This window comes from Homo sapiens, chromosome 16 (genome assembly GCF_000001405.40).
Source record: "Homo sapiens chromosome 16, GRCh38.p14 Primary Assembly".
NCBI classification, from domain to species: domain Eukaryota; kingdom Metazoa; phylum Chordata; class Mammalia; order Primates; family Hominidae; genus Homo; species Homo sapiens.
Window position 1 is genome coordinate 8935809 of NC_000016.10, and position 26167 is coordinate 8961975.

Consider the following 26167-nt stretch of genomic DNA (forward strand, 5'->3'; position numbering starts at 1 on the left):
CTGGGCACTTAATGCCTATACCCAGCTTTCCTCCCCGTGAATTCCATTTGTGATGTCATAACACAGAACTGCTACCCCACCAGAGAACACCTCCCAATCGCTATGGAAGTTACGTAGACCACTTCAGCACGCGAATCTAACCCCTGAGATAACAGATCAGAATAAGCAAGATTCCAATTGGCTGGCTTTCATATTTTCTGCCACTTCACGAAGATTTATCAATCCTCCCCCAAAAAGCTGGCAGGGGGCGGGGGTCGCGAACACAATACAACCCTGGTGTGTTGAAACTAAGAGTCCATGTCCTGCCACCAGGTGGTGCCTTGTCCATGAAGACCCAGCTCGGCCTCTGAGCCACAGGTGTCTCCACTCAGCCCCCCAGATCCTTCCACTAGTAACAACCTAGTGATCAAAACTACAGCTGTTATTACGGCAGATACGCATGGGCCAACACCTGGTCTCTGGGTGGCTCACATGGCGCCCTACAGCCCATCTCACCCCGCCCCCATCAGTTCACCTTGAACTCCCTCTGGGTTCTGCATGGTCCTCTCTTGACCTCTCATCTCCTCTCCCCACAATGAACTCATTTAAATATATGACTTAAAATAGAGGCTACAGAGGTAAACTAGAAAGCAGTGATCTTTATATAAATTTTACTGATACAATGTCTAGATGTATAGCCCCAAATATACTTCAGAAGTTTGGCTGAGACATGTCAGTATTGGTTATCTCCATCCATCACCAGCATAAGGAGCTCAACCTGAAAACCTGACTCACCTTCCAGCCCAAGCCTGTGGTTCCCAGCCATCTCTGCATGGCTCTGCAGTGGCCTCTGCTGGGGGATGGGGGAGGTTCTCTCACCCACATCAGAGTGACTGCATAGAATCTCTAGGAGCTCTACCTCAGCATTCTTTTTTATTTTTTAAAGCATCCCACAGAAGCCTTGTCTTTAGGACCAGAAACATTCAAGCAACCTCAATTTAGATAAGGCAGTCCAGGAACAGAAGAGGATATTAATGGAAAAACTGGTGAAACTCTGAAAGAATCTGACTTTGGTTAACAACATACCAATGCCAGTTCCTTGGCTGTGACAAATCTGGTTTAAAACACTGTATCAAACACTGGTGATATAAATTGTTAACAACCCGAGAAAGTCGCTGGGGGGCACACAGGCGCTCTGTCATAATTTTGCAACTTTTCTGTACATCTAGAATTACTCCAAAATTAAAAGCTAATTTTAAAAAGGCAAAGTACAATGCCCTCTCAGCCTAACAAGCAGGAGGAATAATTGATGTAAGTGAAAAATTTCAGGGCACCTTACCACACATCAGTAATCCCAGGCACTTAGGACCCTGAGGCAGGAAGATCCCTTTAGCCTGGGCAACACAGTGAGACTCTGTCTTTTTTTAAAAAAAAAAGGATTAACACGAAACAACGTGTATAAGACAAGCAATCTGGGCCAGGCAGGGTGGCTCACGCCTGTAATCCCAACACTTTGGGAGGCTGAGGCGGGCGGATCACCTGAGGCCAGAAGTTTGAGACCAGCCTGGCCATGGCAAAACCCCATCTCTACTAAAAATACAAAAATTAGCCAGACGTGGTGGCGCATGCCTGTAATCCCAGCTACTCAGGAGGCTGAGGCAGGAGAATCACTTGAACCCAGGAGGCGGAGGTTGCAGTGAACTGAGATCACGCCATTGCACTCCAGCCTGGGTGACAGAGTAAAACTCTGTCTCAAAAAATAATAAGTTGGGTGTGGTGGTGCACACCTGTAATCCCAGCCACTTGGGAGGCTGAGGTGGGACGTAAAGGCTGCAGTGAGCAAGGGCTGCACCACTGCCATTCCAGCCTGGGCAACAAAGCAAGACCCTGTCTCTAAATAGGCTACAAAAAAAACAGAAAGGGAAAAATGTCAGCATTATGCACCTAAATAGAGCATGGCTTAAATTCTCAAGCAATTCAAGGCAGACAAAAAAGCAGTTTGGGAGATGAAACACAAAACACTTCCCACACAGAAGCCAGGAGACAACTGGACAAGAGAATTGCTCAGGAGACCTGTAGCCAGTCTGGGGAGCTTGCATCTATGTGGGAGCAAGAGGGGGAGAGAAAATACTGACCACGTGAGAAGGAACTACCATCTGCTTAAGTATTTCATGAATCAGTAACTCCAATGAGCCCCTATTATGTGCCAGGCCTTGTACAATTCTCAGGTAATCGTCACTGGCCCCAGGGTAAGGCAGGGCAGAATATCCTCCCTATGTCACCAGACCAGGGTCACAGCTGGACTGGCAAAGGCACTGCCACAAGAGGCCCTAGGCAGGAAGAATGGAAAAGTCCTGAGCAAACAGGCACGACACTCCGAGAAGGCTGAAGTTCTTTGACTACATATGCTTTTAAATATGGATATTCCCAAAATAACCTGGATTCCTGTAGGACTGCTACTACACTATACTATACTGACTTGATTAAACTTTTCTTGATTAAACTTTGAGATAACTGTAGATTCACACACAGTCTTAAGAAATAACACAGTCAAAAAAAAAAAAAGAAAGAAAGAAAGAAATAATACAGTCAAGTCTTCCACATCTGTGGATTCAACAAACCGCACATCAAAAACACTCAGGGGGCCGGGCACGGTGGCTTACACCTGTAATCCCAGCACTGTAGGAGGCCGAGGCAGGTGGATCACAAGGTCAGGAGATCGAGACCATCCTGGCTAACACGGTGAAACGCCGTCTCTACTGAAAATACAAAAACTTAGCTGGGCACGGTGGCAGGCACCTGTAGTCCCAGCTACTCCGGAGGCTGAGGCAGGAGAATGGCATGAACCTGGGAAGCAGAGTTGCAGTGAGCGGAGATCGCACCACTGCACTCCAGCTTGGGTAACACAGCAAGACTCCGTCTCAAAAAAAAAAAAATTGGGGGGACGGGGGAGTCTGTACCAAACATGTACAGATTTTTTTCTGTGTCATTATTCCCAAAACAATAGTCTACCAACTATTTACATAGCATTTACACTGTATTAGATATTATAAGCCACGTAGAGATAATTTAAACTATATAGGAAGATGTGTGAAGATTATATGCAAATACTACACTGTTTTGTATGAGGAAGACTTGAGCATCTGTGGATTTTGACACCCTGAGAGGGGTCCTGGAACCAATCCACCATTAATACCAAGGGACAGGGAGAGATCCCATACCCTTTTCCTAGTTTCCCCTTACAGCACCACTTTGCAAAACTACCCTGCCTGCAGTATCAACAGCCAGGGTCCTGATGTAACCCACCAACCCAATGAAGATTTCTCCACATTTACATGTACTTACGTGTATTTAGTTCTCTACAATTTTATTTACTGTGTAGATTTGTGTGTCCACTACCACCACAGTTAAGATCCTGAACAGTTCCAACACCACAAGGATCCCTCCAGTGGCCCTGTTACGACCACCCACCCCGGCGTGCGTGCTCCCCCATTATCCCCGGCAACCCTCATATGTTCTGCATCTCTGGGATCTTGTCACTTCACCAATGCTATATAAATGGACACAGTGTGGAATGAGTTGTTCCTTTCTCCTGTACTCTAGGATATCATGGCAGGGATGGACTGCCATTTGACCATTCACTTGCTGACATCTGGGTCCTTTCCAGATAGAGGAAATTCACAAATAAAGCTGCTATGAAAATATTGGACTGGTCCTGGTTTCTATTTATTTCTACTTTTGAGTTCTGAAAGAAGTAAACACAAGCAAGCAAATGTTAGCTAGCAACAATGCAGACATAGATAAGGAGAAATCAACTGGCCTTCCCTGAGTGCTAACATGAAGGAAACCATGAATGTTTCACCTCCAGGCATTCTCAATGTAATGTTCATATGTACATATCATGTACATTGCTCGTGCACTTTTTCTCATGAAGGAAAACACATATACTATTCACATTACGTGGGTAAGTTTAATAACTCCAAAACATTGTCATGATTTATCAACCACTCCCCTAAAGAAGACTGTTTCTGGCCGAGCGCAGTGGCTCACGCCTGTAATCACAGCACTTTGGGAGGCCAAGGAGGGCAGATCACGAGGTCAGGAGATTGAAACCATCCTGGCTAACACGGTGAAACCCCGACTCTACTAAAAATACAAAAATTAGCCAAGCATGGTGGCACATGCCTGTAATCCAAGCTACTTGGGAGGCTGAGGCACAAGAATTGCTTGAACCAGGGAGGCGAAGGTTGTAGTGAGCTGAGATCATGCCACTGAACTCCAGCATGGGTGACACAGCAAGACTCTGTCTCCAAAAAAAAAAGGCTGTTTCCATCCAGGTTTTTCCTGTATTTTTGTGACTCCAAATGATGCTCTCACAAACAGCTCTGTCCTGTGGCTCCCATCCTGCTGCCTATCTACGCATCCTATAGCCAGGTCACCTGTCTAGGCATCCTACAGCCAGGTCATATACACATCTGGCCTCTGCAAGTAGCTAACCATGCTTTGTCCAATGGCAAATGTCAACACTGTTATCCAAGAACCAGAACACCGCCAAATGCTCTGGTGAGCTCCAGCACAGGACCAGCCTCCAGCACAGTGCTCAGGAGAACTCTTCGGCTTCTTGAACACAACGAGAGGCAGAAGGTGTACTAGGAATGTCCAAGAAGCTGGGCGCCACCATCAAGGCTGTTGATCAGAGTGGGAGGGCAGGGGTTACCTTGGGACCAGGCAACCCAGGGCGGGAGGTGGGGCAGTTACAGCAATGGCCCCTGCATCAGAAAGGGAGAGGTGGGAGCCTGTAAGCTCCCGAGGCATCCACAGAAACAGGGACGATGGTGGCAGCCAAAAAAGACGGAGTTACCACACTCCCTAAGAAGCTCCTGACCGCCATCTTCTAGACATTTCCAGGGAGTGGGAAAGATCAGAGGCTGTGGAGTGAGATCAATCCCCTCTGCGAGGCCTCTCCTAGGTGAAGCTCAAGCTGGCTTCAGGTAGGGCCCTGGAATATTAGCCGGACATGGTGGCGCACACCTGTAATCCAAGCTACTTGGGAGGCTGAGGCAGGAGAATCACTTATATACAGTGTCCAGAACCTGGAATATATACAGTCTCCAGAACCTGGAGGTAATCAAGTGGGGGTGAAGGTCATAATAGGATACAATAAAGTCAGGAATAGCAGGACAGAATTCTCTCTCCTCCCACTCCAGGACCCTTCTTCTCGTCCAGCACTCAGGGACTCAAGGTTCACCTTCCAGCCACTGATTGGAAAGTGGTAGGTGCTGGCCAGGCCACACTGCCCATGTTTGCCAAGGAGCTGCTGCCCAATTCACATGGGGCCCATGCCCCATGCCCATGAGGACCCCCCGCCCCACCACCAAATTACTTCCCAGCCCTCACGCCCTCTGTGCCTGACTGGATACCTGAAACCTCTTGGAAGGAGCCAATTCCAGAACATGAACCTAAGTGGAAAAATTAACTATGCTCAAACATAACCCTGAAAGCACCTTTCTAAGCTGCTACCATTAGCTAGGATTTCATGCATCCCCTAAAGGGTGGACATACCCTACATATCCTGCAGTCTGCGGTTAACAACTTTTTAACAAAGAAAACATCTTATTCTGTAGCCTAATACGTTACTTTTCCAGACAGGAAGGACCTGAGGGGTAAAGGCACGTATCTCCAGCCGCATTTCAGCAGAGCCCACCCTCTTCTCGCAGGTCAACCGACATGTCCAGTAACTTGTCCTAAGCCAAAACACATTTCGGCTTTTTTGTCCACGCACGATAGCAACATCAGAGTGTAAATAAGTTAGTCTGCCAATTCGCTTAGTATCTTCCTTCTAGTACCTTGTAGCCTTGCTTGGTACCAGGAAAGACAAAGACCAGGCCGTGTTGGTGTGGTGAGGAGTGAGGGGACGGGCAGAGCCAGGATCAGCTGTGTTGGGTGGTGCGTGCTGTGAAGTCAGGCCTGCCTCTCCCCAGGTGTGAGACCACCGGCCAGCCACTGACCCTTCCAAGCCTCCGTCTCTGACAGATGGGCTGGGCCCAGGGTTCGGCAGGGAACTGGGTGGACACGCCTCCTGGTCTCCTGGTGCTCACTAGGAAGTGGGAGGCAAGTCCCTTGGTGATCATTGCAATAGAGGGCAAACGCACACAGTGACAGCCACAGGGCTGGTTCATGTCCCTTAGTCATGAAGGAGGAGACAACTGGCAAGCACAGAGTGGCAAATTCTGTGGCAAGCACAGAGTGCAAGAAGCCTGCCGGCCAGAGATGGAAAAGTGCAGTCCAGGTAGAGCAAACCGCAACAGGAACAGGAACAGGGCAGTGGGAAGGGGAAGGTGGGCAGGGCCAAAGCTATGGAGGGCCTTGAAGGCCACGATAAGCATTCTTAACTTCACTCTAAAATGTTCCCTCCCAGCAGGTGCTCCACCCAATGAACAGGAAGCCATCCATGTCCTTGGGAGGTACTGGGACACTCGGAGTGACTGGGATGCCCAGTGGAGAGTCTGTCGGACCTGAGACAGCCCCAGCATGGGAATCCTGGTACCAGCCCTTGCCAAATATCAAGCAGTGGGGTCTGTCCCACCCTTATCACATGCTAGGGGTCTCCTGACAAGCTCCTTTGCTGTTCTGCAGCACTGTGAGGGTCTGACCACCTGCACCTCACCCCAGCCTGTCAAAGTAGATCCCTGTGTACTCTAAAACGGGGGCCCTCCTAAGTAACTCTGAATCCCTCTGGTCTTATTAACAATATTTGGCTTACGGCTTATTTATTTTTGAGACAGGGTCTCGCTCTGTTGGGCAGGCTGGAGTGCAGTGGTGCCACCATGGCTCACTGCAGCCATGACCTCCCAGGCTCAAGCAATCCTCCCACCTCAAGCTCTTGAGCAGCTGGGACTACAGGCGCACACCACCACACTCAGCTAGTTTCTGTATTTTTTTGTAGAGACTGGGTCTCACTATGTTGTCCAGGCTGGTCTTGAACTCCTGGCCTCAAGCAATCTCCCAGCTCGGCCTCCAAAAGTGTTGGGGTTACAGACATGAGCCACCACATCCAGCCACTTTGTGATTTTATACCCTCCAGTTATTTGGCCATATGCACCCTCATTAGGCTGGCTGGAAAGCCATTTCCAGGGGACAGTCCTGTCCTACTAAGCTAGGTTGCCTTCAGTTCTGTACCTTTTCAGGCACTGCGGGCCCTGAGGTCAGCCGACCACCTGGCTTTAAGGCAGTGGAGCCTGAGTGTTCAAAGTGGACCCACTTTGACGCTTTGCTCTATATGCTGAAATAATCCTGATGTAAATTAGCTATATGAAAACCAAGCCCCAAAGAAGGCCACATATAATATGTGATCCTTAAATAAAACTATTTGTTTGGAGCTTTCAGTTTAGCTTCATTATGTAAAAATCATCTGTTCCCTAGAGATCATCCTAACTACCAAAAGTGCCTGTCCAAACACTGATGATTGGTTTTAATGCTGTGTTGTGCACTGAGAGGGGTTTAATATACAGCACAAGTAAAGAGCTTATAATTACGCCTGTACTGCTTCTACATGTATAGTCTGCTCCGCAAAAGAAACAGGATTATCTGCTCAACTGTGCAGCACAATGCAAGTAGAAGTTGCAGCACGCACGGCCGGAACCGAGCTGCACAGATGCAGTTAGGGCAAGGGATGCCCCTACCTGGATGGAGATCTGTGACACACAAGAGCCAAAGGATCAACACCGAGAATGCAGGGCCCCAATGCCATGAGAAACACAAACGACTAACCAACAGGCTCCACCTCCCTCGTTAACGTGGGATACCACTCTTCCTCTGCTGGATTAACGGTGAAAAGCAATGGAGATGCCCACCAGTACTGAAGGTCTAGCATATGGGTAGAGTCGAATGGCTGGCGGGAACACACTTTTCTAGAGTCAACTGTCCTTCCCAAAGGCAATATGTATTAAAATCAAAATGTTGAATGTCCTTTCACTCATTTTGAAATGTTACCACAAAAACCCATTCCCCAAGAAAATGAGCATTCACGCTGGGGGATAAACACAAACAGTGCTTCGTGCACTGATGCACAACTTTAAACATAAGTTTAATTTTTCACAGGAAAACATTTTGGTTTTTAAAATTTCATTTCTCTATTAAATTTATTGTATTGCTTATTCTACAATAATTGGGTTTTAAAGCAAAACTATAAGGTGCGGGGGAGGCAGTATACAGGAGTTCAAGACCAGCCTGGGCAAACATAGGGAGACCCCCGTCTCTGAAATTAAAAACAAACAAAAAAGGATGAACTGGGACAATATCCATAATACATCAAGTATATAATGGTAGTTCCCTCTGAGGAACAGAAACTCTCCTTCTTGCCTTTTTGCTTGCATGTTTGAATGTTTCCGGGAATATGCATTACTCTTAAAACAAAAGCAAAAATACGCAGAGCAACAGAGGTGCAAAAAAAAAAAAGCACAGCCAAAATACTGGCTGAGGCTTGACACCCCCTTGGCAGCTGAGAGAGGGGGTGCAACAGCTGCCCGCCTGGAGTCAGGAGGAGGCCAGAGTCCTGGAACAAAGGAATTGCCTGGGCTATTTGTGGCCTGGAAGGTCCATTTACACCTTGGCAACTAAGTAGCAGCTTCCTCTCTTAAATGTCTGTTTTTCCCTAAAAATTATTTGAAAAGACAAGCCAGTTTGGGGACTGGGGATGAGGTCAGAGGTAGAAAGGAGATTTTTATACATACTCTTGGTTGTGCTAATGTAAGTCCTTTAAAAATAGTCAAACATAACCAACTTCAAACAGGTTCCTTTATTTGAATAAAACCACAAAAGGGAACAACCTAGCACAGAAAGAAAACTATTTTTTTCTCTTTTGCACCATGTCACAGGCTGCCAGTCTACTCTAGGCCACTGGAGACACAGACCACCATTCAGGTTTTAATCCCCTTTAGAGGGGACCTACTCAGACTCTCATGGAACACCTGCAATTCAAGGGCTGTCAGATCTTTTGAAAAACTAGCGTCAAAGGTATTTTGAAAAGTTCCTGGCGGCTGGACACAGTGGCTCATGCCTGTGATCCCAGCACTTGGGAGGCTGAAGTGAGGGGCAGATCGAATGAGGTCAGGAGTTCGAGATCAGCCTGGCCAATATGGCGAAACCTCGCCTCTACTAAAAATACAAAAATTAGCTGGGTGGACCGGGCGCAGTGGCTCACGCCTGTAATCCCAGCACTTTGGGAGACCAAGGCAGATGAAAGACCTGAGGTCAGGAGTTCAAGACCAGCCTGACCAAGATGATGAAACCCCATCTGTACTAAATAAAAATACAGAAATTAGCTGGGTGTGGTGGCGGGCGCCTGTAATCTCAGCTACTCAGGAGGTGGAGGTTGTAGTGAGCCGAGATCCTGCCACTGCACTCCAGCCTGGGCAACAAGAGCGAAATTCCATCTTCAAAAAAAAAATAGCCAGGTGTGGTGGTGCACACCTGTAATCCCAGCTACTCGGGAGGCTGAGGCACAAGAATCGTTTGTACCTGGGAGGTGGAGGTTGCAGTGAGCCAAGACCATGCCACTGTACTCCAGCTTGGGCAACACAGCAAGATGCTGTCTCAAACAAACAAACAAAAAGTTCCTGGGAAGACTAGTTGTCCAGAGAGTAGCAAAGGAAATCTTGTTTTATTTGTTCATGGGTTAGTGGGGGCTTTGGGAACAGTTCAACCTATAAACCAACAGACACCTTGAACATTTCTGTGCACTAGTGATGTACTGTGAATGCTAGCCATTCATAAGAGGAAAATCACTGAGACTGGGGACATACCGTGCCCATGGAGTGGGAGACAGCACAGTAAAGATGTTCTCCCCAAATTAATCCATACATTTAAACACAGTCCAATTAAAAAGCAGGATTTTTCATAGCTAAGGACAAGCTGATTCTAATATTTATATGGAACAATAAAAGATTGAGTAGGTAAAACAATTTTGAATAACACAGATCCACTGGGTGTGGTGGCTCATACCCTATAATCCCAGCACTTTAGGAAGCCAAGGCAAGAAGACTGCTTGAGGCCAGGAGTCAGAAACCAGCCTGGGCAACATAGCGAGACCCCACTTCCAAAAAAAAAGTAAAAATTAAAAAAAACAACAGCACTGATTGAGAAATCACATTACCTGATTATGAAGCTTCCATAATCAAGACAGCACTGCTGGCAAAGGAACGGACAGGGGAGAATGGAAGAGTCCAGAAACAGATCCCATTTGATTTTTGACAAAGGTACAAAAGCAATTCAACGGACAAAGACAGTCTCTAACAAAAGTCATGGAACAAATGGACTCTACAGCCCCTCCCCCACAAGACTCTCAACCTAAACCTCACACCTTATACAAAAGGTAGCTCACAATGAAATGTAAAACCCCAAGACTGTAAGAAAACACAGGAAAACATCTGTCATGATGGGTAGGGCAAATATTTGGACATAATACCAAAAGCAAGGTTCAAAAAAACAAAACACAACAACAACAAAAAAATGGCAGGCGGCGGTGGCTTAAGCCGGTAATCCCAGCACTTTGAGAGGCTGAGGCAGGAGGATCACTTGTGGCCAGGAGTTCAAGACCAGCCTGGCCAATATGGTGAAACCGCATCTCTAAATAAAGAAAAAAACTGTTGATCAACTTTGCTCCAGAAAGACTTATGCTCCAGAAAGAAGCTGTTAAGTGAATACACACGAGCTACAGACCAGCAGAAAATATCTGCAAATCGCGTATCTTACAAAGACTCAAATCTCAAATATATAAACAACAGTTCACAAAACTCAACAGCTGGACAAAACTCAACTAAAAAGTCAGAATAGCTGAACTGACACTCTGAAGAGCATACAGGCATGGCAAAGGCACACCTCCAATAATCTGGTCACTGGCCTATACCCCAGCCCCACACACCAGCAGATGCAAAGGCGGCCTCCACACAGCCACTCACGCTCAACCACTCAGCCATCTGCCAGCACGCAGAAGGCTCCACCTACAGAGCAAACAGCAGCAGGCGTTTCCAACAACGCCAATGTCTGGGCATATAAACTCAACTTTTTAATATAACTGTATAATAAAATGTATCAACATTTAGCAGACCTGTAAAACTTGATGAATCCATATTTTCCAAACGGCCAATAAATGCAACTGGAAAAAATCCACTGAAAGTGCATGACGAACTTAAGGTAATGGGGCGGGGTGAATTAACCTTCATTAAGTTACCACTTGTTTTGCTTTGCTGTAGTTATCAGAGAATAGTCAATCATTCAAAAAGGCTACTAAAGCATTCCTCCTGTTTTTTTCAGTATATCTCTGTAAGATTGGTTTTTTCATATTTTAATTAAAATTACACTGCAGCTGACTGAATGCACAAGCAGGTATGAAGTCTTCTATTACAACAGACAATAAAGAAATTTACAAAAATGTAAAGCAATGCCATTCCTCTCAATACACTTTTGGAAAATAATTATTTTTTATACAACATTACTTGGAAAATAATTATTTTTTATACAACATTACCATGTGCTGGTTTATTGTTTTTCCACAGCACTCCCCCCCCCAACACACACACACACAGGGTCTCACTCTTATCACCCAGGCCGAAGTACAGTGGTGCCATCTCGGCTCACTGCAACCTCCACCTCCCAGGTTCAAGCAACTATCCCACATCAGCCTCCTGATTAGCTGGACTACAGACATGCACCACCACACCCAGCTAATTTTTGTATTTTTAGAAAAGACTGGGTTTCACCATGTTGCCCAGGCTCGTCTCGAACTTCCGGCCTCAAGTGATCCACCCGCTTCAGCCTCCCAAAATGCTGGGATTACAGGTGTGCGCTTATTTTTCAATCAATAAACATTTAAGGTTGGCCTTAATTTCTATATGGTAAATAACAGTAGCTATAACCCACCCACCAAAAGCTCTTTAAGGGGTGAAGTCTTTTAGGACTTCGACAGGATCCTGCCATCAAAAACTTAGCTATTCCAGATGTGGGACTGCCTGATGGGTTTGTGCCATGCTGCCTCAGCTAGGTGGGCATGCCATGCCCCTCCCTGCACAGCTCCCACTTTTGAGACCCTCAGTGTGCAATTCGGAAGGTGGGAGTAAAGCAGCTGCCACATGCCATTATGCCTGGGGATTTCTCTGTCTCCAGGGTCTTTAGGCTCCATTACTGCCCTGGAAGCTTGGACATGGTGACAGGCACTTTGGAGCGCAGCACTGCCTGGCTCCCCACTCCCACCCACCACCTCTCGAAGACTGCATGCCCTGCAGACGTCAGTCAGCTCCAGCACCAGACCCAGATGCTAATAGAGCTCCCACCACTGTGGCCTGTAAAATCCCACTAATAAATCCCTGCATCCCTTTCCCACAGTTCCGCTCCCCTGATGGAACCCTCAACTGACCTTGATTCCTCCCTCCCACCAGCCCAGGCTGGAGAATGAGTGGCACCATCTCAGCTCACTGCAGCCTCAACTTCCTGGGCTCAAGCAATCCTCCCACCTCAGCCTCCAGAGTAGCTGGAACTACAAGCACACGCCATCATGGCTGACTAATTTTTGGCATTTTTTTGTAGAGACGAGTTTTCACCATGTTGCCCAGGCTGATCTCAAACCCCTGGGCTCAAGCTATCCACCGGCCTCGGCCTCCCAAAGTGCTGGGATTACAGGTATCAGCTGCCACACCTGGCCCCCAGTTAACTCAACTTAGTAAGTGAAGCATATTCCTAACTGCAAAAAAAGTTCAAATCCCTTTAAAAATACTGACTAAAGCCTATTACAGATGACACAATCCTAAGAACCTGCACATCTCTTTGCTAAATCATGGTGAAGTTCCACACGATGGAATATTATTCTGCGAGAAAAGGGAACGACTACTGGCTACGATGTGGATGAACCTTGAGGATATTAAGCTAAGTAAAAGCAGCCAAAAACAAGCATGGACAACACAACGATAAAAGCAGCCAAAAACAAGCATGGAAAACACAGCGAAACCCCGTCTCTAGAAAAAAAATACAAAACTTAGCCAGGCGTGGTGGCGTGTGCCTGCAGTTCCAGCTACTCGGGAGGCTGATGGGAGAGGATGGCTTTGGCCCAGGAGCTTAAGGCTGCAATGAGCTATGATCAAACCACGGCACTCCAGCCTGGGTGACAAGATCTTGTCTCCCAAAGGGGAAAAAAAAAAGCTTACACAGTCTATGAAATGTCTAGAATAGGCAAATCCATAGATTAGTGGTGACTGCTAATGGGTACAGGATTTCCTTTTGTGGTGATGAAAATGTGCTCGAATTGAATGCTGATAGTCACACAATTGTGAATACTAAAAACCACTGAACCCACTTTAAATGGGTGAATTGTGGTATGTGAATTATCTCTCAATGAAGTTATTTTAAAAATCATGATTGTTACCGAATTTTATCAAAAAGCACAGATGCAAATCTAATCCTTTACAACTGTTACCAAACCAGGTAAAATTAAGGTTAACTGGCATTTAACATCGTGGCACGTTCCACTGGGATTGAAACTGAGACATAAAAATGCAATGCAATTGATTGTTGGGTACTATGTAGGGAAAAACTACTGTTCGAGGCATTGAAAATGCCTGGGGCACAGTCCCTGAACTTTACAACCTCAAAGTCTAGTGGAGAAGAAAAGCAAAGTAACACAACACAACATGGCAATTCCAATACAATGGACATACCCAGGACAGCCTGTGCTTCTATTTTCATCCACCCAGAAGCCTTGCCGCTGCCATCCTTACCTCCAAATCCCCGAGCTCAAGTCCTAAGCCTACTTTAAGGCCCACCACAACACCACCTCTTCACCATGCCTTCCTTCTCTCAGAGTGCAATCTTGTTCTTCAATTTCCAGGCCCCTATCTGCTCACCTCTGTGCATTCATCACCTTCTGCCCTCATTATTTGCTCATATGACCTATCTGAACCCATGCTGGCTTTCCTTACGCAGAGACACCTTATCACTTCATCTCTGCTTCCCCTCCAAGCCCCCAGGGCCTGAAGCAGTGATTACCAGCAAGTATGCCCTAAGCTGAGCTTGGGGAAGCTCCTTCTAAGAAGTTATTACATGAAAATGCTTGGCTTTCCATATTCTAAACCATACTGGTCAAGGAGGTCTAACGGTTGCTATCCCCTAGAATAGCAAAGGAAAACCCCCATTCACAGGCTCTGTCTAAACAGCAGTGCTGTCCCACCAACCATAGAAGCCAGGAGCTGCATGTGGCAACTGAGCGCTTGAAACATGGCTGTTGTGACAGAGGAATTGGTATTATTAATCTTATTCAATTTAATTTTATTTAAATAGCCACATGTACTTATTGAGCACATGAAATATGGCCATGGAGACCAAAAAACCAAATATTTATGTATTTAATTTAATCAACCACATGTGGCTAGTGGCTGCCACAGTGGACAGCGAAGGTCTAGAAATAATGTTATCACTCAGAGCCTTGGTATCTAGGCTTGCAGAGTAGAAGACACAACAGACATTTTCTGCTCTAAAAAAAAAGATGGGACCCAGTGCTCTCTGATAAACACTCAAGATTAAAACAGTATTTTAAGAAAAATAAAAGCCCTTTAATTTCATCAAAAAAGAATTACATTTTAAATAACAGCTTCTGATTTCCAAAGGAAATACTGATCATTAAGAGTAAATGCAGATGTGTGGTGCTAATTCTTCCTCTCCAGACCCCTTACCCCAAGGCAATTAACCCCAACTTGAGAACACTGAAGACTTTGATCACTTGGGCTGGGACAGAGCTTTCAGCAGCACATTTCCCACAGGACTGGGCGCTGACAGAGACAACAGTCTCAGTTACCAACCCAGCCCTGTCTGCCACGAACATGGCACTGCTAATTGTCCAAGATTCAGAAGCTGTATGTGCCTGGCTGCCCTGCATCCTGAAGCTCAACCAGTCACCCGCAGGGCCACATCCCACTGGCGAGGGACCCAAGGGTCACCTGGCTTACATGCATGTCTTCCCCAGGCACTGACCAGCGCACGACAGTGATCTGAGCGGGCACTATTTGTCACTTGTTTCTGCGCACACAGTCACTCCTGACCAAGTTCAATGGGGCCAGAACTTGGGCCTCCTGTCTTATTTTTCCCAAGAGAACCTCATGTACAATTGGTGACCAGTTAAGTAACCATTCAAGCTAAGATCTGTGCACAGACTGAAAAAACTGATCTGATGCAACGTCCCAAGAATTCACAGCTCTTGTGCATTGTGTGAGCAGCAGCGACACGCAGAAAACTAAGATAAAAAAGCCATGTTTATTTCTACTTTCTTCGATCAGTGACTTAACAGGCAAGGCTTAAAGTCAAACCAAGTAAGGATTTCTGTATTTAAAACTGTAGGCTTGCCACTGTTTGACTGCTACAGTCACTTTACAAACTAAATATTGTTTCCAAAGTTGCCTATGAAGATGTACATCATATATATATTTAATCTTTAAAATCTGGCCTCTTAAGTCACCTAATTTCCTTCAACCTCTGCTCAGATAAGGAATCCTGAGCCTCTGGTAGCCCTGACCCAGTTTTCCTTCCACCTTGTGAAAGCTGTCATCTTAAAGAAACTAGGTGATTTAGGCAACAGGAAGGACACCACCCCAACTGGCCAAGGCTCCACAGAGAACACAGCCCGGGGAGCAGGGGGCTCACCCACCTCGCCCTGAGCCAGCCGGATTCATGTGATGAGCTCTGCAGGCTTGGAGAGAGCCCCTGGATATCCTATTTGCTCATCTGTAAATGCAGAGGGCTTGTGGGCATGAGGATGACTGAGGACCTGAGCGCATGAGGCTATACTTAGGTCTAAAATGCTGTAATATCTAACTCTGTACATCTAGAGACCTGGGTATGCTGAGACGCTGTGCACCTGCACCCTGAGCCCTCGCAGACAAGACTCAGGCCTTTTCACATTTAAATCTCTCCATACACTCAGATACATACAGCCCAGCATGGTTTGCTTTAGGAATGATTCATTCAGCTCAGGATCTCATTAAAACTTGTTACTGAACACCTGATTCACAAAGGAAGCAATCTACCAACGTGCGTTATTTTGCTTCATCTCTTTTTATGCCACCAAATGCCACCTGCAGTGTATCAGTGGCCCTGGACTATTCAGGCAGTGGGCTACTTTCTATATTCAAAGCATGTGGGGAACCACACCACAACGTTCAGACTGGGAAGCCCAACTGCAGTTCACGACTTTTGGGTGGTGAGGTAGGAAAATGGATGAAAGCAGGAGGGTGTTTAAATAAAAAAGTAGACCCCCCCGTCTATACAAAAAAGAAAAAAAATGGCCAGGTGTGGTGTGCCTGTAGTCCCAGTCACTAGGGAGGCTGAGGTGGGAGGACTCCTGAGCCCCAGGAGTTTGAGGCTATAGTTAACGGTGATTGCGCCACTGAATTCCAGCCTGGGCACGAGGGAGAGCCTGTCTCCAAAAAAATATTAATTAAAATTCAGTAACCACTACTTTATGACCAATAGCACTTACTGGCTATGGTGAAGCCGGACCACATGTGTTCCAATCCCAGCTCTGCCACTTGCTCTGGGTGACCCAGGTAAGTTGACACACCTTGTTCTTTCACAGCTCTGAAGGTCAGAAGTCTGAAATGGGTCTCACCGGGCTAAAACCAAGGTGCCAGCAGGGCCACATTCCTTCTGGAGGTTCTAGGGGGAAATGTTTCCCTGCCGCTTCCGGGTCCTAGAGCCACCCCATTCCTGGGCTCCCCCTTGCACCTGTCTTCTCAGGTCCCCTCACTCTGGCACTGATGACTGTGAGTACACTAGGCCCACCTGGGGCATGCAGGCCCACCTCCTCACTAGGGATCCTGAATTCAATAAGGTCTGCAAAATCCCTTTGCCATGTAACGTAACATTTGCAGGTTTCAGCGATTAGGACATGGACACCTTTCCGGGGATGGGAGCATCATTCTGCAAACCACAGACCCTAAACCTCTAGTCACAGAGTCTGGCAGTTCCCAAACTCATCCTGCTATTCCACCCCTCCCGCCTGTGACCACACTCGCTTTTTTTTTTTTAAGACGGAGTCTCATTCTTGTTGTCGCCCAGGCTAGAGTGCACTGGCGCAATCTCGGCTCACTGCAACCTCCGCTTCCTGGGTTCAAGCGATTCTCCTGCCTCGGCCTCCCAAGTAGCTGGGATTACAGTCGCGTGTCACCATGCCAGGCTATTTTTTGTATTTTTAGTAGAGACGGGGTTTCACCATGTTGGTCAGGCTGGTCTTGAACCCCTGACCTCGTAATCTGTCGCCTTGGCCTCCCGAAATGCTGGGATTACAGGTGTGAGCCACTATGCCTGGCCTCACCACCTCTTTTCACACTCAGCTGTGTCGCCTTCTCTGTGAGGCCTCACCTGAGGCTCCCCCTCCCCGCGGTAAGCCAGTCCTGTCTCTCCTATGCCACAGCTGCTTTGCCGAAGCCCTCCCCTGCACACGTGTTCAGGGCTCCTTCACTTTCTGAGGCAGTCCCATCCGGGGTAGAGTTGAGACCATAACCCAGCAGCCAGACCCGTTCCTGCCAGTCAGCAGATGTTTGATGAATGAAAGCCTACACCAGCCTCTGTGGACACTACAGGACACCAAGGACACTCCTACTGCCACTAAGTAAAGTCTGAGGTACGATCCAAGGGGAAACCAAGACAGTAAGAAACGGGGGTTGGGGAGAAGACACGTGCCCCATGCGGTGCCACTGGAAGCAGAGGGAAGACACGTGCCCCATGCGGCGCCACCGGAAGCAGAGGGAAGACACGTGCCCCATGCGGCGCCACCGGAAGCAGAGGGAAGACACGTGCCCCGTGCGGCGCCACCGGAAGCAGAGGGAAGACACGTGCCCCGTGCGGCGCCACCGGAGGCAGAGGGAAGACACGTGCCCCGTGCGGCGCCACCGGAGGCAGAGGGAAGACACGTGCCCCCTGCGGCGCCACCGGAGGCAGAGGGAAGACACGTGCCCCCTGCGGCGCCACTGGAGGCAGAGGGAAGACACGTGCCCCCTGCGGCGCCACTGGAGGCAGAGGGAAGACACGTGCCCCCTGCGGCGCCACTGGAGGCAGAGGGAAGACACGTGCCCCATGCGGCGCCACTGGAGGCAGAGGGAAGACACGTGCCCCCTGCGGCGCCACTGGAGGCAGAGGGAAGACACGTGCCCCCTGCGGCGCCACTGGAGGCAGAGGGAAGACACGTGCCCCATGCGGCGCCACTGGAGGCAGAGGGAAGACACGTGCCCCCTGCGGCGCCACTGGAGGCAGAGGGAAGACACGTGCCCCATGCGGCGCCACTGGAGGCAGAGGGAAGACACGTGCCCCCTGCGGCGCCACTGGAGGCAGAGGGAAGACACGTGCCCCCTGCGGTGCCACTGGAGGCAGAGGGAAGACACGTGCCCCCTGCGGCGCCACTGGAGGCAGAGGGAAGACACGTGCCCCCTGCGGTGCCACTGGAAGCAGAGGCTTTGAACAGGTGCCCCTGGGAACCTAAAGGAAATGGAGATTGAGCCTTAGATACCTTTTTAAGAAATCTGACTCTGCTGCAACATCCAAACGTGTTCAGTGGGCTCGCTCATCTCTCTAAACAGAGCATGAGGTAGCTCGCGTGTTCTCAAACTCATCATATGAGGCGTGACTGCATTCGGGTCATGGGCAATGGGACCACAATACAGCTTGTGAGATTTTAGGATTACCCTGTTAACCGTAACTCAAAAAGTCAAATCCACAATCTATTTTTTGCAATGGAAGACAATTTAGCTGTAAGTTTATAGGATGTATTCTGGAAGCTTTCTACAGAGATGAAGACTTGCCAAAAACTTTACTAACTAAATACGAAGGTATGTATTCATTTGAGGTTTGCGTAGTTTAATAACAGCAATTGCAGGCCGGGCACGGTGGACTCACACCTGTAATCCCAGCACTTTGGGGGTCTGAGGTGGGTGGATCAGGAGATCGAGACCATCCATGGTAAAACCCCCCCTCTACTAAAGATACAAAAAAATTAGCCGGTGCGGTGAGGGGCGCCTGTAGTCCCAGCTACTCAGGAGGCTGAGGCGGGAGAATGGTGTGAACCCGGGAGGCAGAGGTTGCAGTGAGCCAAGATCGTGCCACTGCACTCCACCCTGACAACAGAGCGAGACTCCATCTCAAAAAATAAAAATAAAATAAAAAAACAGTAACAGCAATTGCTGTTTCACACAACATTCTGCTCAGCTACCACGAGATGAATGACAGTGGTGTGTGGACCAGTCACTATTAATCACCTATACCCACTTTCTATGAATCTGCAGTTTCTGCAATTCTTTTATTTCTTCCCACGTATGCTTGTTCTAAGAATAACCGCTGAAATGTAATTTTACATTTGTTGTATTTAATAAACTTGGGTTTCTCTTTCCGTATGGCTCGTTTTTTTACATATTAATCTGTTTGCATTTCATTTCTACATGATGGACAGTATTGGGGCCAGTGTCTCACCCCAGGCTAGAGTGCAGTGATGCAATCTTGGCTCACTGTGGCCTCGACCTCCAAGGTTCAAGTGATCCTCCCACCTCGGCCTCCCAAAGTGCTGGGATTACAGGCATAAGCCACCATGCCCAGGCTCACAAGCTTGTTTTAAAATAGCAATTGCATGGCCAGGCGCAGTGGCTCACACCTGTAATCCCAGCACTTTGGGAGGCCGAGTGAGGCAGCTCATGAGGTCAGGCCTGGCCAACATGGGGAAACCGTCTCTACTAAAATACAAAAAATTAGCCGGGCATGGCGGCGCGCCCCTGTAGTCCTGGCTACTTGGGAGGCTGAGGCAGGGGAATCGCTTGAACCTGGGAGGAGGAGGTTGCAGTGAGCCGAGATCACACCACTGCACTCCAGCCTGGCAACAGAGCACGATTCCATCTCAAAAAAAAAAAAAAAAAAAAAACATTGCACAGGGTCAATTAAGAGTCATGAAATATAATTTATTCCCCAAAGTCTTATTGATGAAATGTGCTTGCAACTTGAGGTCAATGGCTTACAGCTTTTTTAAGGGGCTGTGGAGTAGAAAGGTTTGCTCAGCCTACACATTCAGAGGAATGCCACATGGTGTCCCTTGGAAACACACCTCTCAACTTTTTCTGAAGTACTGTGAATGGGGTGGCAAGAGAGACAGCCAGATGTCAGATTACCACCCAGACACTTGCAGCCCCACCCTGGGATGGGACCATGTTCCGCAATACAAGTCACACTACCAAACTCACACAGCACACTTTCCAAACCAGATGCCAGTTTAACAACTTACTGTGAGAGCTGGAGGTTAGTACATAACACAGGACACTGTCCTCCCAATATCGGGATGTCAGGAAACCTTAGTTACTGGCATGTAATCAAAAAAGAGGGGCCTGGATTTTTTAATCTTCTATGGCAGGCAGGAAAATCACATGACCTGTCCTGGTTTCACAAGGGAGCCTCCTTCCTTCTAAATAGTTTTTAGATTCTCAATGACCCAAAGAGAATGATCACCACCTTGAGAATGGGCCACAGCGCTCGCTCCCAGGTTTCAAACATTCATGAAGTTAAAGCTCCTGGCAGATAACATGGGCTCTTTCCAAGGACACACGGGCATTTCTGCAACTATGAACAGCTGTGACCTCACAACAGTGTCTCCACCCGTCAAGGGGCATGCTAAGAACTGAATTTGGGCCAGGCGCAGTGGCCCACGCCTGTAATCCCAACACTTTGGGAGGCGGAGGCGGGCAGACTGCCTGAGCTCAGGAGGTCAAGACTATCCTGGGCAACATGGTGAAACGCCATCTCTACTAAAATATAAAAATTAGCCGGGCATGGTAGCGTGTGCCTGTAGTCCAGCTACTCGGGAGGCTGAGGCAGGAGTATGGCTTAAACCCAGGGGTCAGAGGTTGCAGTGAGCCGAGATCGTCCCACTGCACTCCAGCCTGGGTAACGAATTAAGACTTCGTATTAAAAAAACAAAAACAAAAAAAAAAAAACACTGAATTTGCTTTACACAGCCACAGGCACAGGATAGTAAGAGCCCAGCCCCCCCGCAGGCAGTGCCCCATTATCCACGAGGACTCCCAGCGCAGCCTCAGCCATGCCCAGCCCTTCTGGGCAGCACAACACAGACAAGTCGACGCTATCTCTCAGGGTGCCTTCTCCCAGACACCCCTCTGCCCATCCCATGCTGGGTTCTTGCCAGCCTCTGTCTCAGGAGTGTCATCACTGAATTCTGGAAGCATCCCTGCTCTGGCTCAGGTTGGTGTATTTCCCCATACAAGAAACGTACTAATTACTGTTTCCAACTTCCAAATAAAAAGTTAAAATTACCAACCCTCAGAAGTAGACCTGCTTCTCTTCAAAAATTTCAACACATCTGACTTCTCATTAGCTGAGGCATGTGTTAACTTACTAGAAAAATGGCATAACTGACTTTCTTGCCTACGCATGACACTTAAAACCCTGCTTCCTCCAACTTTCTTAAGTCCAAATTAGTTCAGAACAAGTAATTTCTAAAGTAGGTGACATTTAACATCTAACTCTGTCATGGTACATGGCAAGAAATATGTTGTTACAACTCTTGTTCTCCAGGATAAAACTTCTTTGCCTTGGAAATCAAGCAGGATATCCACGCTATTTGTTACTCATGCAAAAAACCATAAACGGGCTGGGTGAGGTGGCTCACACCTATAATCCCAGTGCTTTGAGAGGTTCAGGCAGGAGGATTGCTTGAGACCAGGAATTCCACACCAGCCTGAACATAGCAAGACCCCATCTCTACAAAACTTAAAATTCAAAAAAAAAAAAAAAATTAGCCAAATGTGGTCACCCTGACCCTGTGGTCCCAGCTACTTGGAAGGCTGAGGTGGGAGGATCACCTGAGCCCGGAAGTTTAAGGCTGCAGTGAGCTATGATCGCCCACTGCACTACAGCCAGAGCAACAGAGCAAGACCCTGTCTCTTAAATTAAAAAAAAAACAAAAAAAAATTAAAAACACAAAAACGATAACAAAAATAGACTTTACAAAATACCGAAAAGAAATTTTCAGTTATTTATGAAAGTCTATCAATGTCTTTGTCTGGAAAACGGGCTTTTACTTCCAAAAGGATCAAAAAAACACCATTACATTAACGTTAAAAGCAATAAAACTGAATGAGCACCTATCAAAGCAATACCGTTTTATGGCTTCAGCGTCTCTTTCTCAGAGCCACTTGCCAGCCAGCCATCTCCTGCATTACTGTTTATTCTCAGAGTACACTGAAAAAAGTGTTTCCTGAATGAGCATCTCCCACAAATAAATTTAACAAAAAAGGAAACTGAGATGGTCACCTTCAGAGCAAACAAGCCAACGGTGTAGAAGAGGCACCCCAATGCCCATCCCACCGGCACAGTAGCAGGTGGGGCAAAAAGTGCATGGGTCTTATGCAAGCCAACAGGGAGAGGCGACTAGAAAGGCTTAGGGGAAAGGTGGCCCCTGGGTGGGATTCTGAACCACTTTCCTGGGGTATCTGTCCTGTTTGTGCCCACACAAGTGCATGTGTGCTGGGAACCGGCAGCACCAAGGAGGCTGGGGCCATCCTAAGACTGCAGCTGTGCGACTTCCTGTAGAGAAGGCAGGACACCAAGTCCTTTTCAGCAAGGCAGTGACGGACAGAAGTCCTGTGGGCAGCAGCTTTCATAAAGTGTGGGGTCAGGCAGGCTGGAAGCAGGACCAAGAGGGAGGCTACCACCACAGTTCCAGCATGAGGCAGCAAGGGCCTGCTTTCAGGGGATGTCTGAGACAGCCAAACGGGCCTGGCAACAGGATGTGGGATAGAGACAGCAGAGTTCAAAGCCGACTCCCAACGTCTGGACACTCAGGGACCTGGTTTCCTGCCACTATCTAGTGTTCCACTTCCCCACACTCATCGCAGGGAGCTCTAGCACTCACGCAAGAATCATCAGAAGGCCACCAGGCTGACTACAGCATCAGTGGCGCATGGCACCAAATCCACTTGACTTTTATCATACAGTGAATCATTCTCAAAATATTACACTTTTAATATTAAAATCCCTATTCAAGCACATCAAGCCCAAGATTTCAAGAACAGCATTGCTTAGGCAGAGGCCGGATGGCTTCTTCCTAATCCACATCGGATATGGTTACTGTGGGCCCTTTCTGCATAGCACCCATCTTCGATGGCCCCACCTGTGGTGTGTGCCCCACTTTAGTTCTAACATAGTGTCACATTTTCTTGGCTGCAAAAGCCCTACCACCAAGGCAACACCATGTGCTGAACATCTCCTATGCTCCAAATTCCATGCCAGGCACTTTAGATGTGCCTGGCGATTCCAGTCTCACAACAACCTTGACGGGCATGAATGACCTCCTTTAAGGGATGGAGAAACTGAGGAACCAAGAGCTTAAGCAATGTGCATTAGGTCCCACAGCAATTAGATGGCAAAACCCAGATTCAAACCCAGGCATGGCTCTAAATCTAGACTGCCTTAGTCACCACAGTCTGTTATACCATGAATTTTTACTTAATGACCTCTTTCTCCTTTTCCAAAACACTAATTCAAAAAAAAAAAAAAGGATACCTTCTTCCTATATTTACTAGTATCGATCATTTCATTACAGAGAAAAAATTAATAATGAGGATATCAGCAGCCTGAAAGAATCAGGAGAGCTGGAGCCTGGGGAATCGCTTTGAATCATTAAAACCTGACGTGCTCACATCAGAGTGAGATGCTAGGTTTGGCCTAATTTCTCTCTACTGGGTTCTCTGAGCTGATGTTCATCTTGTAACTTTGCAAAGAATTATCTTAGCAACAGAAGCCAATGTAAGGAAAATCAACACTCTCGAATTATTTGACTTTTGTCTCGTTACAGTGCTATTTGAAAGAATCTTCTATTAGTTATAATCACAACAGCACAAGTTTATCTGGCTGGGTGTGTTCAAGAGAACTCACATTCTACTCCCAAACATGCTTCAGCAGAAAAGTAACTGCACAAGTTTGGAAGAAACCCACCACCACCCCCGTAACAAAAAACACAGAAGCCTAGATCAGAAGCTGCAGCTGACCCATTAATTTGCTCCTAATAGCAGCAGTCTAAGTGTCATAGAAAAGTCTAACATCTATCCCATTCGTCTCAGAGCCGACACTGAAACAGAGACTGCTCACTTGGGCAGAAGAACCACACCAGGGAAAAAAACAGTTTGTATGCAGAAGCAAGGCCTCCTGATAACTTCCTGTTGATTCAATAGCGTCTACACCGACCATCTGAGTATTCAGAGGGCAGAGACCCATGCAAGTCACTCCTTCAGCCCCTAGACTTCCATGGCCACCAAAGTTAGCGAATAAATAATACACTGCCAAGCAACCTTATTCCCAGCCAGACCTAATCATGCCACCACCTCCACAGCTCTATCTGCCTTCCAACTAGAAACATGCAACTGGCTGCTTCAGGCCTTACAGGGAGTGTGTGGTTGCAACCCCAGCAAACTGCATCAGGCCCCACCTCTTCCCTCTCCGCACTTCACCCTTCATCACTTTCCTAACTGCTCAGGGCATTTCAAAAAATAACTATTCCAGAGCACTGCTGTTTTCCAATGAATATACAAGGACTGTGCAGAGTTCACTCAAAAGCAAATGCAACCCCAAGAATGTGAGGCCGGAGAGCAAACTCACACTGACCTATTGATAGAGACAAAACAAACGAAACAGTCTCCCAGGCTCCTTCGAAACCACTCTGCCCAGGAGGTGCAGGCAGGATGCTCCAGGTTTACAAAGCCTTCCCTTCCTCAAGCTGTTCAGACCCTGACAGTTTCCAGCTGCTAGTTCGTTAGGAACCGAGGCAGACACTGAACAGGTGCCAAGTCTCTAGCTCTGACCAGGACCCCACTCACAGCCTGGTCCATGAAGCCAACCAGAGTCCACTAAATTCCAGCCTTCTGGCTTTTTAACAGAAGTGTTCTCTCACTCTTTCGGGTCCTAAGTCACATTCCAATCGTAAGGCTAGTACCACATTTCAGGATTGGGAAGGCTGAAATAGATGGCCTAAGACACAAGTAGCTTTTTAAACCACACACCAGTGGGTACTCACAGGGCACTATTATTTGTCCACAGCCTCATGTGCTCACTACAAGAAAAGGGACCTCCTGGATAATGAAATTGAAACAGAGGCCCAGTCAGAAGAAATGAGTTTCTTAAGTTTAAGGAATCAGCATTAGTAACTAAAACCTCTGCCATCCAATTTGAGATTCTGCTAAATTTACAGATTAACTGTCCTAGGGGTTACCTTTCTAATACAAACTGTAATATGAAAATAAAGCTTCATTTTATGAGAAAAGAAAGTAGCCTTGAAAACGTGCATGGAGACTGATGAATTTCTAAAAATTCAACACCCTCTAGTCTTTTAAAAGCAAACACCGGCCAGGCGCGATGGCTCACACCTGTAATCTCAGCAGTTTGGAAGGACGAGGCGGGCAGATCACCTGAGGTCGGGAGTTCGAGACCAGCCTGACCAACATGGAGAAACCCCGTCTCTAACAAAAATACAAAAGTAGCCAGGCGTGGTTGCACATGGCTGTAATCCCAGCTACTTGGGAGGCTGAGGCAGGAAAATCGCTTGAACCCGGGAGACGGAGGTTGTAGTGACCCGAGATCGCGCCACTGCACTCCAGCCTGGGCAACAAGAGCAAAAATCCGTCTCAAAAAAAAAAAAGGGGGGGGGGGGCAAATACCTTGAAATTTGTGGACCTGGTCATTTTCCCAAAGATACAGGTCTGTAACACACATGCTCTGCAGTAATGTCTGTTTATTAATTCTCACTAGTGTCCAAAAACACCTGGAAAGCGGTAGGACAATGTCATGGGAAATCCATATGCTCGTGTTATTGGATATTTGTCTTGACCGGGTACCATTTGAAAAGGAAACTGAAAAGCAACCCTCTTTTATGTTTTAGATGGGCTGCAAAATACAGCACAAAAGGAATACACAAAATTCCCTCAGTAAAGTACTTCTTTTCAGCTATTTGGTTTAATCACACATAACAGGCGCTCTTAGTTGCTGCTTTGCTGGGGCCAAGTGAAACAGATAACCCAGTCCTTGGCGTGGACTCCGCTCTTCTGTCCCCCATTACTGCCATTGATAAATACCACTGGGGAGTGCCTACTGCAGAATCCCAGCCACTTTG

General features: G+C 47.4%; 1 protein-coding gene across 6 annotated transcripts in view, besides 10 other annotated features; it reads right to left on the reverse strand.

Annotated features, from left to right (window-relative positions):
- Positions 1 to 26167, reverse strand: part of USP7 (ubiquitin specific peptidase 7) — a 71810-nt gene that overhangs the window by 43712 nt on the left and 1931 nt on the right. For 2 of the 6 annotated variants that reach the window (NM_001286457.2, NM_001286458.2), the window contains exon 1: positions 775 to 831. The exons of 1 other annotated variant lie outside the window; for it this stretch is intronic. In NM_001286457.2, the coding sequence (NP_001273386.2) occupies positions 775 to 805 (31 nt within the window). In that variant the 5' untranslated portion in view covers positions 806 to 831. Of the gene's footprint in view, positions 1 to 774; positions 832 to 13745; positions 13847 to 20499; positions 20573 to 26167 lie in introns of those variants that run through there. 3 more of the 6 variants (NR_135826.2, NM_001321858.2, XM_047434605.1) reach the window with 3 other exon arrangements.
- Positions 8875 to 9074: an enhancer, noted in NCBI's record as "active region_10363". NCBI's record gives its function as "activates an Ori minimal core promoter by ATAC-STARR-seq in GM12878 lymphoblastoid cells {active_cell/tissue: GM12878}" and the evidence as "EXISTENCE:reporter gene assay evidence [ECO:0000049][PMID:35858748]".
- Positions 15965 to 16094: an enhancer, noted in NCBI's record as "active region_10364". NCBI's record gives its function as "activates an Ori minimal core promoter by ATAC-STARR-seq in GM12878 lymphoblastoid cells {active_cell/tissue: GM12878}" and the evidence as "EXISTENCE:reporter gene assay evidence [ECO:0000049][PMID:35858748]".
- Positions 16768 to 17717: an enhancer, noted in NCBI's record as "H3K27ac-H3K4me1 hESC enhancer chr16:9046433-9047382 (GRCh37/hg19 assembly coordinates)". NCBI's record gives its function as "activates a minimal SCP1, AML or CMV promoter by ChIP-STARR-seq in naive H9 embryonic stem cells {active_cell/tissue: H9 hESC(naive)}" and the evidence as "EXISTENCE:reporter gene assay evidence [ECO:0000049][PMID:30033119]".
- Positions 16768 to 18779: a biological region, named in NCBI's record as "BRD4-independent group 4 enhancer GRCh37_chr16:9047245-9048444".
- Positions 17580 to 18779: an enhancer, noted in NCBI's record as "BRD4-independent group 4 enhancer chr16:9047245-9048444 (GRCh37/hg19 assembly coordinates)". NCBI's record gives its function as "activates an origin of replication core promoter dependent on BRD2, P300/CBP, MED14 and CDK7 cofactors, and independent of BRD4, by STARR-seq in HCT116 cells {active_cell/tissue: HCT116}" and the evidence as "EXISTENCE:reporter gene assay evidence [ECO:0000049][PMID:35650434]".
- Positions 22311 to 22370: an enhancer, noted in NCBI's record as "active region_10365". NCBI's record gives its function as "activates an Ori minimal core promoter by ATAC-STARR-seq in GM12878 lymphoblastoid cells {active_cell/tissue: GM12878}" and the evidence as "EXISTENCE:reporter gene assay evidence [ECO:0000049][PMID:35858748]".
- Positions 22554 to 22848: a silencer, noted in NCBI's record as "tiled region #8678; K562 Repressive non-DNase unmatched - State 5:Enh". NCBI's record gives its function as "represses a minimal TATA promoter and a strong SV40 promoter by Sharpr-MPRA in K562 cells {active_cell/tissue: K562}" and the evidence as "EXISTENCE:reporter gene assay evidence [ECO:0000049][PMID:27701403]".
- Positions 22554 to 22850: a biological region, named in NCBI's record as "Sharpr-MPRA regulatory region 8678".
- Positions 22801 to 22850: an enhancer, noted in NCBI's record as "active region_10366". NCBI's record gives its function as "activates an Ori minimal core promoter by ATAC-STARR-seq in GM12878 lymphoblastoid cells {active_cell/tissue: GM12878}" and the evidence as "EXISTENCE:reporter gene assay evidence [ECO:0000049][PMID:35858748]".
- Positions 24222 to 24291: an enhancer, noted in NCBI's record as "active region_10367". NCBI's record gives its function as "activates an Ori minimal core promoter by ATAC-STARR-seq in GM12878 lymphoblastoid cells {active_cell/tissue: GM12878}" and the evidence as "EXISTENCE:reporter gene assay evidence [ECO:0000049][PMID:35858748]".